Source organism: Homo sapiens, chromosome 19, assembly GCF_000001405.40.
Source record: "Homo sapiens chromosome 19, GRCh38.p14 Primary Assembly".
Classification (NCBI taxonomy): Eukaryota; Metazoa; Chordata; class Mammalia; order Primates; family Hominidae; genus Homo; species Homo sapiens.
In genome coordinates, this window is record NC_000019.10 from 12,249,401 (window position 1) to 12,262,043 (window position 12,643).

Consider the following 12,643-nt stretch of genomic DNA (forward strand, 5'->3'; position numbering starts at 1 on the left):
GAGGCTGAGGCAGGAGAATGGTGTGAACCCAAGAGGCAGAGCTTGCAGTGAGCCGAGATCACGCCACTGCACTCCAGCTTGGGCGACAGAGCAAGACTCCGTCTCAGAAAAAAAAAAAAAAAAAAGAAAAGAAAGCACTTTGGGTTATTTTTATTTATTTATTTTTCCCGAGATGGAGCTTCACTCTTGTTGCCCAGGCTACAGTGCAATGGCACAATCTCGGCTTACTGCAGCCTCCGCCTCCCGGGTTAAAGCGATTCTCCTGCCTCAGCCTCCGAAGTAGCTGGGATTACAGGCATGTGCCACCATGCCCGGCTAATTTTGTATTTTTAGTAGAGATGGGGTTTCTCCATGTTGGTCAGGCTGGTCTTGAACTCCCGACCTCAGGTGATCCGGCTGCCTCAGCTTCCCAAAGTGCTGGGATTACAGGCATGAGCCACTGCGCTAGCTGGGTTAATATTTTCTAAGAACAGATACATTTGAGGCTCAGCTTGTTTTGTTTCTTTAATTATCAAATTTAATGACATACTAAGATTTTTCTCCTAGAATACTGCTTTCTTTTCTGAGTGTGACTCACCTGAGATTTCTCCCCTGGTTTTTGTACTGCTCTTCAATGTTCCATTCTTTTTGTTTTGTTCCTGAAATGCAGACCCAGAAAAAATTATCATAAATTATTAGAAATTACAGAAAAATTATTAGATTCTAGGTCCATATGTGACCATGCCTGATTTACAAAAGAATTTTGCCTTTTCACATTCCACATCTTGGAATAGCATTGATATCCAAGAAAAAGGTATTCTCTAATTCATTCAACAACATGATGGAATGATTTCATTTTTACCTATAGTGGCCAGGTTCCTGAAGGTTTCCCACATCACGTCTCTGTAGAGTTTTTTCTGTGAAGGATCCAGCAAAGTCCATTCCTCCTGGGTGAAGTTCACAGCCACATCTTCAAAGGTCACTGAGTCCTAAAACATTCCAAATGTGTGTAAAGGAGAATGGGTGAGACTGACAGCACTGGACATCTATACTCGAGTCATAAGATGTTCACGATGATTCTGTGATCTCCAGAGATTTATTCTATGAATTTGTTGTCAGAACTCTAACTCTTTGGCCACACTCCCTCAGTAGTTTATGAACACACGAAAATTATTTCTACACTTTCACTGTGATCACAATCATATTGCTTTCCAATGGCAGGATCCAGAGCACTCTGGAAAAGTGAGAGAAATGCTGTACAAAAAAATTCCATTTTAAGACCATCAATTCTTTGTGAGAAAAACTCATCTTCTTCTTATACATCACATCACTCAACATTCCATGAGACACAGGGTCAAACATGGATAATACGTGGATGAATAAAAGCACACTGAAGAACTAGAAGCTTTTTCTACTATTCCCATCACTAAGCATGAGAACAAGAGGCACGTGGAAATCAAACTTGTAACAATATTTACCTGACCATATTGTCCTGAGGTACTCTAGGATATTCGAGGTAGTCAGATCCAGCCAATTCAATCAAAATATTTCTTTTGGAGAAGTTGGCTGGGCACAATGGCTCACACGTGTAATCCTAGCACTTTGGGAGGCCGAGGCGGGCAGATTATCTGAGCTCAAGAGTTCGAGACCAGCCTGGGCAACATGGTGAAACCCTGTCTTGGTGGCTCACACCTGTAATCCCAGCACTTTGGGAGACCGAGGAGGGTGGATCACCTGAGGTCGGGGGTTCCAGACCAGCCTGGCTAAAATGGTGAAACCCCATCTCTACTAAAAATACAAAATTAGCTGGGTGTGGTGGTGCATGCCTATAATTCCAGCTACTTAGGAGGCTGAGGCAGGAGAATCACTTGAATCTGGGAGGTGGAGGGTACAGTGAGCCAAGATCGCACATTGCACTCCAGCCTGGGCAACGGAGCGAGACTCTGTCTCAAAAAAAAAAAAAAATTAGCTGGGTGTAGTGGTGCGCATCTCTAATCCCAGCTACTCAGGGGGCTGAGGCACGAGAATAGCTTGAGCCTGGGAGGCAGAGGTTGCAGTGAGCTGAGATAGCACCACTTCTCTCCACCCCAGAGAAGTGTTCATTTTCACTATTTGTGTTAATATTTATCAGAGACTTATTTCTTTCTGTCCCATTTCATGGAGCTATTAAGTTACTGGGAAGTTAGAGCTCAGGCATGAGGAATAAAGCATGACAACTTTAGATAAAATCTCTACACTTCTGAGCCTCAGGGATACTTCCTACCAATTTTTAGCAAATATTTGCCATCCTGAGATGGTAAAATGCCAAAAGAGCTCTTTCCAGCAGAACCATTCCAGTTAACCTTGGGACTTGCTGACCTTGAGGAACAGGTTAAGATTTGCAGTTTACAGGCCAGGCGCGTTGGCTCACGCCTGTAATCCCAGCACTTTGGGGGGCCGAGGCAGGCAGATCACCTGAGGTCGGGAGTTTGAGACCAGCCTGACCAACATGGAGAAACCCTGTCTCTACTAATAATACAAAATTAGCTGGGTGTGGTAGCACATGCCTGTAATCCCAGCTACTAGGGAGGCTGAGGCAGGATAATTGCTTGAACCTGGGAGACAGAGGTTGCCGTGAGCCTAGATCGCACCATTGCACTCCAGCCTGGGCAATAAGAGTGAAACTCCATCTCAAAAAAAAAAAAAAACAGATTTGCAATTTACAATAAAGTGCATTAAAGTCCACAATGATATGATGAATTTTCACATGATTATAAAATGTATAAAAGGTTCTCAGCAGAGGTTTCCTCCAAAAGAACATAAAATGCCCTTTCTCCAATTTAAGAAGGAAGTGATTCCCCAGCCACTCTAGAGAAGAGGGATAAGAGTTGAATTGAACTTCTTTTCAGAAACCATACGAGAAAGTAGAGTGAAATATTTAAAGTTCTGAAAGAAAAAATCTGTATCAAGCAAAATTATCCTTCAAATGAGTCCGTAGTACTTTCTGAGACAAAAATTGAGGGAATCTGTCACCAGTACACCTGCTTTGCAAGAAATGTTAAATTCACCAGAAAGAAAGTAAATAACAAAGAAAGGTACTGCAATAGAAAAGGCATAAGTGGAAGCAAAATATAATCATTTTCTCATCCTTGATTAATGTGACAGATAACAGGTTGTTCAAAGTAATAATAGCTACAACATATAAGTACAGTTTATGGATAAGTGAAATGAGTAACAGCATTGTTATGAGGGAGGAATTGGGAATACTCTATTATGAGTTACTTGGGCAACCAGTGAAGTGGCCTAAGATTGCTAGAAAGAGGGCTTGGGATAGCTGTATACTGAAAACTCAAGGGCAACCATTAAAATAGTGTAAAAAAAAAAAGTATAATCAATATGTTAAGAGAGGGAAAAAATGAAATCAGGTAAGGTAAAGAGTCAAACACTGAAGTCACAAAGAAAATTAAAAAGTATGTAATCTACAAGTAAACTACCTAATTATATGTTGCCTACAAGAAACTTTTTTTTTTTTTTTTTTTTTTTTTGAGAGACAGAGTCTCACTCTGTCTCCCAGGCTAGAATGCACTGGCACAATCTTGGCTCACTGCAACCTCCGCCTCCAGGGTTTAAGCGATTCTCCTGCCTCAGCTTCCCAAGTAGCTGGGACTATGGGCGTGTGCCACCACACCCAGCTAATTTTTTATTTTTTAGTAGAGACAGGGTTTTGGTTTACGTTGGCCAGCTAGTCTCGAACTCCTGACCTTAGGTGATGTGCCCGCCTCAGCCGCCCGAAGTGCTGGGATTACAGGCGTAAGCCACTGCACCTGGCTTTTTTTTTTTTTTTTTTTTGAGACAGAATTGTGCTCTGTTGCCCAGGCTGGAGTGCAGAGGTGTGGTCTCAGCTCACTGCAACCTTCGACTCTTGGGTTCAAGTGATTCTCCTGTCTCAGCCTCCTGAGTAGCTGGGATTACAGGCACATGCCACCACACCTGGCTAATTTTTGTATTTTTAGTAGAGAGAGGGTTTTGTCATGTTGGCCAGGCTGGTCTCAAACTCCTGACTTCAGGTGATCCACCTGCCTTGGCCTCCCAAAGTGCTGGTATTACAGGCGTGAGCCACTGTACCCGCCCAAGGAGTTGATTCTCTAAGAAGACGTAGAGAATCTATGTATAATCTTTAGCGTACATGTGCATAACAAAAGAACTGCAAAATGCACAAGGCAAAATGTGATAGGACTACAAGGAGAGATACATGAATCCATGACTATGGTTGAGATTTCAACACCCTCCTACCAGTAATTAAGAGATCCAGTAGGCAGAAAAAAAAACAGGAAGGACAGGCCGAGTACAGTGGCTCACGCCTATAATCCCAGCACTTTGGGGATGCTGAGGTAGGGGGATCGCTTGAAGCCAGGAGTTTGAGACCAGCATGGCCAACTAGCAAAACCCATCTCTACTTAAAATACAAAAATTAGCCAGGCGTGGTGGCAGGTGCCTGTAATCCCAGCTACTCGGGAGGCTGATGCAGGAGAATCGCTTGAACCCGGGAGGCAGGGGTTACAGTGGGCCCAGATCGCACCACTGCACTCCAGCCTGGGTGACACAGCGAGACTCTGTCTCGAAAAAGGAAAAAATAAGAAGGACACAGGTGAACTGAATAGCACCAAACAATAGATTCCACTGAAATACATGGAATCCTTCATCCAACTACAGCAGTATACACATACTTCTCAAGTTCACATGGAACAGTCACCAAGATAAGATAGACTACATTGTGGGACATAAAACAAACCTAATCCAGAAGATCACAGCAGATTAAAAAAAAAAAACACTTTAACAAACTTGAAAGAAAAATTATATAAAATATGCTTGCAGACTACAATGACAATATAAAAATCAATAACAAAAAAACAGTTGAAAAACCTCAAAATACTTGCAGATTAAACCACACACCTCTAAACGACCCACGGATGAAAGTAGTAGTTTTAAGGGCACTTAAAAACTAGTTTTTTCCTTTTTAAAGATTTTTTCCTTTTGTGTTAAAAAGCAGCCCTCAAAATCTCATAGAACTATTTTTACCTAAATGAATGAAAGGCTGGGCCTGGTGGCTCACACGTGCAATCCCAGCACTTTGGAGGCCAAGGTGGGCCGACTGCCTGAGGTCAGGAGTTCGAGACTACTCTGGCCAACCTGGTGAAACCCTGTCTCTACTAAAAATACAAAAAAATCAGACAAGAATGGTGGCATGCACCTGTAATCTCAGCTACTTGGGAGGCTGAGGCGGGGGAATTGCTTGAACCAGGGAAGTGGAGGTTGCAGTGAGCCGCAATCGCACCACTGCACTCCAGCCTGGGCGACAGAGCGAGACTCCATCTCAAAAATAATAATAATAATAATAAAATAAAAAATAAATGAATGAAAATACAGCTTATTAAACTTTGTAGGGGCTAGGCGTGGTGGCTCACGCCTATAATCCCAGCACTTTGGGAGGCTGAGGTGGATGGATCACTTGAGGTCAAGAGTTCGAGACCAGCCTGGGGCAACCTGGCAAAACCCCATCTTTACTAAAAATACAAAAAAATTAGCCAGGCATGGTGGCACATGCCTGTAATCCCAGCTACTTGGGAGGCTGAGGCACGGGAATCACTTGAACCTGGGAGGCAGAGGTTGTGGTGAACCAAGATCGTGCCACTGCACTCCAGCCTGGGTGACAGAGTGAGACTCCGTCTCAAAACACACACACACACACACACACACACACACACACACACACACCCCTTTGTGGGACACAGCAAAAGTATATACATAGAGGACAAGTATGCTACTGAACATATACACTAGAAAGGAAGAAAAATATATAATCAATTATCTAAGCATGTGCTTTAGGAAATTAGAAAAAGCAAATTAAAACCATAGTAAGCAAAAGAAAAGAAATTTTTTCAAATAGTGAAACTGCAAGAAATAAAAAAAAAATCAAAACCAAAAGCCAGCTCTTTGAAAAGATGAATAAAATTGATTAAAAAATCTAGTCAAGCTAACTGAGGAAAACAAAGAGGACAGAAATTACTAATATCACAAATGAAAAGGAAAATGAAAATGAGAAAGCATTTGGCTAAGTACAACTTCCATTTATGACAGCAAACTAGCAATAGAGAGAAACTACTGCTTAAGAAAGAACATCTACAAGAAACTTACAGCTAACATCATACTTAATAGTGAAAAACAAGATGCTTTCCCAGTAAGATGAAGAACAAGGCAAGGGAGTCCTCTCACACAGCATTTCTATTCAACATGGGACTGGCACATAGTGTGGGGTTGCATCAGAAGCCTGTGGACAACTTATGACCATCTGGCTACCTGCAGGGCCACAAGAAGGGGGTGCTAAAGCCTACGTAGTCTGGCCGGGCACGGTGGCTCATTCCTGTAATGCCAGCACTTCGGGAGTCCAAGGTGGGCGGATCACCTGAGGTCAGGAGTTCAAGACCAACCTCAACATGGAGAAACCCCGTCTCTACTAAAAATACAAAATTAGCCAGGCGTGGTGACACGTGCCTGTAATCCCAGCTACTAGGGAGGCTGAGGCAGGAGAATTGCTTGAACCTGGGGAGGCGGAGGTTGCAGTGAGCCGAGATCACACCATTGCACTCCAGCCTGGGCAACAAGAGCGAAACTCTGTCTCAAAAAAAAAAAAAAAAAAAAAAAAAAACAGCCTACATAGTAAAGGAGTCAGAGGGCATTAATTGCATGGCAATTTGAATAGTCTAGAAGCCTCTGTGGTAAAAATACCCATTCAAGGTGGGCCAACCCGCAAGTCACAGCATAACTGGATTTAATTAAAATTTGCGCACAAGGATTATGTTGCCTCCAGCAGAACAAAGAACAAAAGAATCTGAAAGATATTATGATGGTGAGAAAGTCAATAGCTATTTCTTAGCCTGGCCAACATGGTGAAACCTCATCTCTACTAAAACTACAAAAAAATTAGCCAGGCATGGTGGTGTATGCCTGTAATCCCAGCTACTCAGGAGGCTGAGGCAGGGGAATTGCTGGAACCTGGGAGGCGGAGATTGCAGTGAGCCGAGATCCACTGCACTCCAGCCTGGGTGACAGAGAGATCCTGTCTCAAAATACAAAAACAAAAACACGCTATTTCTTCACTATGTCAGAGAGGATGCGGTCCTCTGCTTACCACATAATTTTCAGGAATTTAGCCAAGGTGTCAGTGCCTCTTACATTCTAGATGGGGCAATAGCCCTTCCACTTTTTGTAAGCTCTTTTCTTTCAATATTTGTATGTCTTGAATGAATGTCAAATGACTGTCCCCAGAGAGCAATTACTCTTTTTTTTTTTTTTTTTTTTTGAGACGGAGTCTTGCTCTGTCACCCAGGCTGGAGTGCAGTGGTACAATCTTGGCTCACTGCAACCAACCTCTGCCTCCCAGGTTCAAGTGATTCTTGTGCCTCAGCCTCCCAAGTAGCTGGGATTACAGGCGCTCACCATCACACCGGGCAAATTTTTGCATTTTTTAAAGTAGGGACAGGTTTTTGCCATGTTGGCCAGGCTGGTCTCAAATTCCTGACCTCGAGTGATCTTCCCACCTCAGCCTCCCACAGGTGTGGGATTACAGGCATGAGCCACTGCTCCTGGCCAGCAATGACTCTAACATAATGCCATGCCTGTGCTCCTGAAGAAAGGTAGATAAAATTTAGATCTTGCCAGCAAAGACTGCAATATCAAGGCTACTGAGGTTCCCTGAATAGAAACCAGATAAAGGTGGACCACATCCCTTCAAAGGTGAAGGTAAACTGCAGCTAAGTCTGTTGAAATAGAGACTGAACAAAACCTATACAAATCTGTGACTACAGAATATCTACCACTTGTTCATTGGATGGAATCAGTAATCTCCATAATGTTGGATATTGGGTGTAGGGGCTCAATAGGTTGGGATTACAGCAGTAAATTGCAACAGTCCACTTTGAGGCACCCAGATTTAAGAACAAGCCAAATTAGGCTGGGTGCGGTGGCTCACACCTATAATCCCAGCACTTTGGGAGGTTGAGGAGGGTAGATCACCTGAGGTCAGGAGTTCGAGACCAGCCTGGCCAACATGGTGAAACCCCGTCTTTACTTAAAAAAATACAAAAATTGGCCAGGCGTGGTGGCTCGTGCCTGTAATCCCAGCATTTTGGGAGGCCGGGGCAGGTGGATCACGAGGTCAGGAGTTTGAGAGCAGCCTGGCCAACATGGTGAAACTCCGTCTCTACTAAAAATATAAAAATTAAAAATATAAAAATTAACCGGGCGTGGTGGCAGGTGCCTGTAATCCCAGCTACCTGGGAGGCTGAGGCAGGAGAATCATTTGAAACCGGATGATGGAGGCTGCAGTGAGCCGAGATCGCGCCACTGCACTCCAGCCCCGGCAACAGCAAAACTCTGTCTCAAAAAAAAAAAAAAAAAAAAAATTCAACTGGGCATTGTGGTGCACGCCTGTAATCCCAGCTACTCGGGAGGCCAAGGCAGAAGAATCACTTGAACCCGGCTGGTGGAGATTACAGTGAGCCAAGATTGCGCCACTGCACTCTAGCCTGGGCGATAGAGCGAAACTCTATCTCAAAACAAAAAAACAAAAACAAACAAAAAAAACAGGCCAGGCCAAATTAGGCTGTTAAAAGGAGAAATACTCGGCCAAGTGCAGTGGCTCATGTCCGTAATCCCAGCACTTTGGGAGGCTGAGGTAGGAGGACTGCTTGAGCCCAGGAGTTCAAGACCAGCCTGGACAACATAGTGAGATCTCATCTCTACAAAAAAAAAAAAAAAAAAAAAAAAATTAGCTGAGCATGGTGGCGCACCTGTGGTCTCAGCTTCTCAGGAAGCTGATGCAGGAGGATGCTTCAGCCCAGATGTTGGAGGCTGCAGTGAGCTGTGATTGCATCACTGGATTCCAGCGTGGGCAACAGAGTGAGATCTTGTCTCAAAAAAAAAAAAAAAAAAAAAAAAAAAGCACTGGGGATAACTGCCCCTTCACTACAACCATACAACCATTAATGGTTTTGTATAATAGCTGTCAATCCTTCAAGGCCCATCAATTTACATTGAGTCATATTAACTAATTTAATTGGGGAGTAAGTTTCATGGGGTCCCATTTTGTCAATCTAATTTGTAACTGCCAAATACCTAATTTGAATTTATGGCCAGGTGCAGTGGCTCATGCCTGTAATTCCAGCACACTGGGAGGCCACAGCAGGTGAATCACTTGCGGCCAGGAGTTTGAGACCAGCCTAGCCAACATGGCAAAACCTCGTCTCTACGAAAAACACAAGAATTAGATGGGCGTGGTGGCAAGTGCCTGCAATCCCAACTACTCAGGAGGCTGAGGCAGGAAAATTGCTTAAACCTGAGAGGCGGAGGCTGCAGTGAGCTGAGATCCCGCCATGCACTCCAGCCTAGGTGACAGAGCGAGACTCTGTCTCAATAAATAAATAAATAAATAACTCACTGGTTCAGAGCTTCCTTGGTCACTGTGGGATTTTTTAAGGGCTGTTGTCTCACCCTGTCACCCAGGCTGGAGTGCAGTGGCACAGTCACAGCTCACTGCAGCCTCAACCTCCCAGGCGCAAGCTACCCTCCCACCTCAGCCTCCCAAGCAGCCAGGACTACAGGTGCGTGCCACTACACCCGGCTAATTTTTGTATTTTTTGTAGACACAGGGTCCCACCATGTTGCCCAGGCTCGTCTTGAACTCATGGGCTCCAGCAATCCACCTACCTTGGCCTCCCAAAGTGCTGGGATTACAGGCATGAGCCACCGCACCTGGCCCTATGTGATATTTTAAGACAATTTGTTCTATAATACAACCAAGAATGACTTAGCCAACACAATAGTTATGATGGCTAAGGAGAGGCACAGGGATTTCTGCTCTATTTATTTTATATTCACTAATTCCTCTATGATTATCAGGATACCTTCATTAAATTTGATGGGATACCCAGGTATAACTATAACATGAGCCCTAGTATTAATCCCATGAAGGTTTATCAACTGATACAGATGTTAAAATTCAGAACCTACATTATAGAGGCCAAAAACCCAAGGAGTGCCCTTTTTATGATTTTTGTTATGCAAATTCCTTTAATACATTTCCAACTGGGTCAAACTGTGGACTTCTGTTTCATCAGTGTTTTTTTATTTTGTTCCTTCCCTTCCCTGCTTTGTTTTTTGGTTACTGGATGTACTCTGGGGGAGGGTGTGTCCTCTCTAACCTGGTACTAATATTTTTTTTCCCCACCAGAGAGCCTGTGTCATCAGGGTGTCATCACTGTCATCAGGGTGAAGCACCTCCCCTACGGCAATGGTTGCTCTAGAAGGTTTAAGAACCCCAGGTTTAAGTCAGGTTTGAACTAACTTCTTTGTTATGCCACAACTATGCCATGGGTGTTATCCCCCACTAAACCCAAAGGTCAAGCTCTCTGTTGTGGGAGAGGCGCATGAAGCAGCAGCAATAGCACTTTAGGGTCTTGGGAAAGCTTCTGCTGTTAAAGAGTGTGGACTCAGTCCATCATCTAATGGCTGCTGTTCCCCACCTTCCCTCCCTGTCCTCTTTTTGAAGGACTGCTCTTCCAGGGGCAGCCACATAATGACCAACCTCTGACAGTGTATACAGTCCCCCCTCCACTCCCACTCTTTACATTTGGGGCAACCCAGGCATCAGTCACAACTTCACTATAAATACACAGGTCTCAGGCCGCCACTGCGAGAGGAGCCGCCACCATGTCCGCGCATCTGCAATGGATGGTCGTGCAGAACTGCTCCAGTTTCTGATCAAGAGGACTATGCCGACCTACAGCACCAAGCCCAGTAACTTGAAGGCCCCAGCTCCTTCCGCTACAACGGGCTGATTCACCACAAGACTGTGGGCGTGGAGCCGGCAGCCGAGGACAAAGGTGTGGTGGTGGTCACGAAGCAGAGATCCGGCCAGCCGAAGCCTGCCACCTCCTACGCGCGGACCACCATCAACAAGAATGCTGGCGTCACGCTCAGCAGCATCAGACACATGATCCTCAAGAACAAGTACCGCCCCGACCTGCGCATGGCAGCCATCCGCAGGGTCAGCGCCATCCTGTGCAGCCAGAAGCCTGTGATGGTGAAGCGGAAGCGGACCCGCGCCACCAAGAGCTCCTGAGCCCCCTGCCCCCAAAGCAATAAAGAGTCAGCTGGCTTTCTCACCACCAGCCCCTCATGCCCGCAAAAAACAAAAACAAAAACAAAAAAACAAAACAAAAACACAGGTAGGTCCTTGCCCAGGATGTAAACCCAGGACCACTTTAAGGAAGGCCCTACTCCCATACTCCAGCTCCCCAATTCCAAGGAATTATCAAAAACTGTCAACTAAAGTCAGCTGAACCTAGAACCAGACTTGGTAGGGCTCAACAATGGAAGAAACACAGAGCAGCACAGCACAAAGCATGTGCTCCCAGTAAGCAGCAGCTCAAACTCTAAATGGGCCATAGAGCAGGTCAGCAATTCAGAACAAGAGAAGATAGACCCATGAGTGGTGGTCAATATCTAGACATCTTGTTCACAGCACCAACTGCTAGTCACCTAGAAGGGCGAGGCTGCAATGATGACACTGATGACAGTGGGTCTCACACACACTGAGAGGGTATGAAAAGGCTTATTACTCCCATGACTGACGTCTCTAGGGAGAACAGGGCAGGCCTCTCAAGCAGGTGGGAAATGGCTTAAAAAAGCAAGGAAGGGAACTTGCCCAGGGTGTTTACTGTGGTTGGAAGTGGGGCTGGGCGCAAGTTCCTCTGCATGGGCAGCTGGTTATGTGGTTTGAGTCTCCTGCCCATGACAGAGGAAGGATGCCCAGGCCTTCTCAGCTTGTCCAGAAGTAGGGCATTAAGGGAAGAGGATGAAGTGGTCAATTGTGAAACATTAAAAATGTAGAGTCCAACCACTAATTACAAGAACAATGTTGAACAGGGCCAGGCATAGTGGCTCTGGTGGCTCACGCTTGCAATCCCAATGCTTTGGAAGGCCAAAGTGGAGGATCGCTTGAGCCCAGGAGTTCAAGACCAGCCTGAGCAACATAGCCAGACCCCATCTCTATATAAAAAATGAAGTAGCTGGGTGTGCTGGCATGTGACTGTAGTCCTAGCTACTCAGGAGGCTGAGATGGGAGAATCACTTGAGCTCAGTTCAAGGTTACAGAGAGCTATGATTGCACTACTGCACTCCAGCCTGGATGACAGAGCAAGACCATGTCCTCTGTCTCTAACAATAACAACAACAACAAAAAAGACAATGTGTTCAACAATAGTGAATAGGAAAAATACGCATTTACAATTGCTTGTTTTTATATAAAGAAACACTAACAGATGCACAAGTTATTATCAAAACTGGTTATCTGGGGGTGGCTGGAGCAAGAGCACTAGGGTAAACCAGGATATTCTAGCAGTAAGTTTTCTCAACCCACACTTTCTTTTAGATTTTTTTAAACCTTTGTGTGTATTTTAAATGATTGAAAAAAATTATATAAACCATACTTTACTATTAGCCATTATTTTTAATTAACTTGTTTCTAAAATTTATTGACTTTTAACTTTTTTTAAACATAGGAAACCATTGTAAGATTTCATCCTTTAAATAATGGGTATAAAAGTGTAAATTAAGAAAAAAATCT

The 12,643-nt window shown here is 44.4% G+C and overlaps 1 protein-coding gene and 1 pseudogene across 3 annotated transcripts in view; one reads left to right on the top strand and one right to left on the bottom strand.

The window, feature by feature from the left end:
• The window catches only part of ZNF44 (zinc finger protein 44), a 70,198-nt gene that overhangs the window by 24,715 nt on the left and 32,840 nt on the right, over positions 1–12,643 (bottom strand). For 2 of the 3 annotated variants that reach the window (XM_047438924.1, XM_047438922.1), the window contains one exon: positions 841–968. In XM_047438924.1, coding sequence (XP_047294880.1) covers positions 967–968 — 2 coding nt within the window. In that variant the 3' untranslated portion in view covers positions 841–966. Of the gene's footprint in view, positions 1–577; positions 639–840; positions 969–12,643 lie in introns of those variants that run through there. The other variant, XR_007066867.1, reaches the window with a different exon arrangement.
• RPL28P5 (ribosomal protein L28 pseudogene 5) lies at positions 10,692–11,090 on the top strand (annotated as a pseudogene).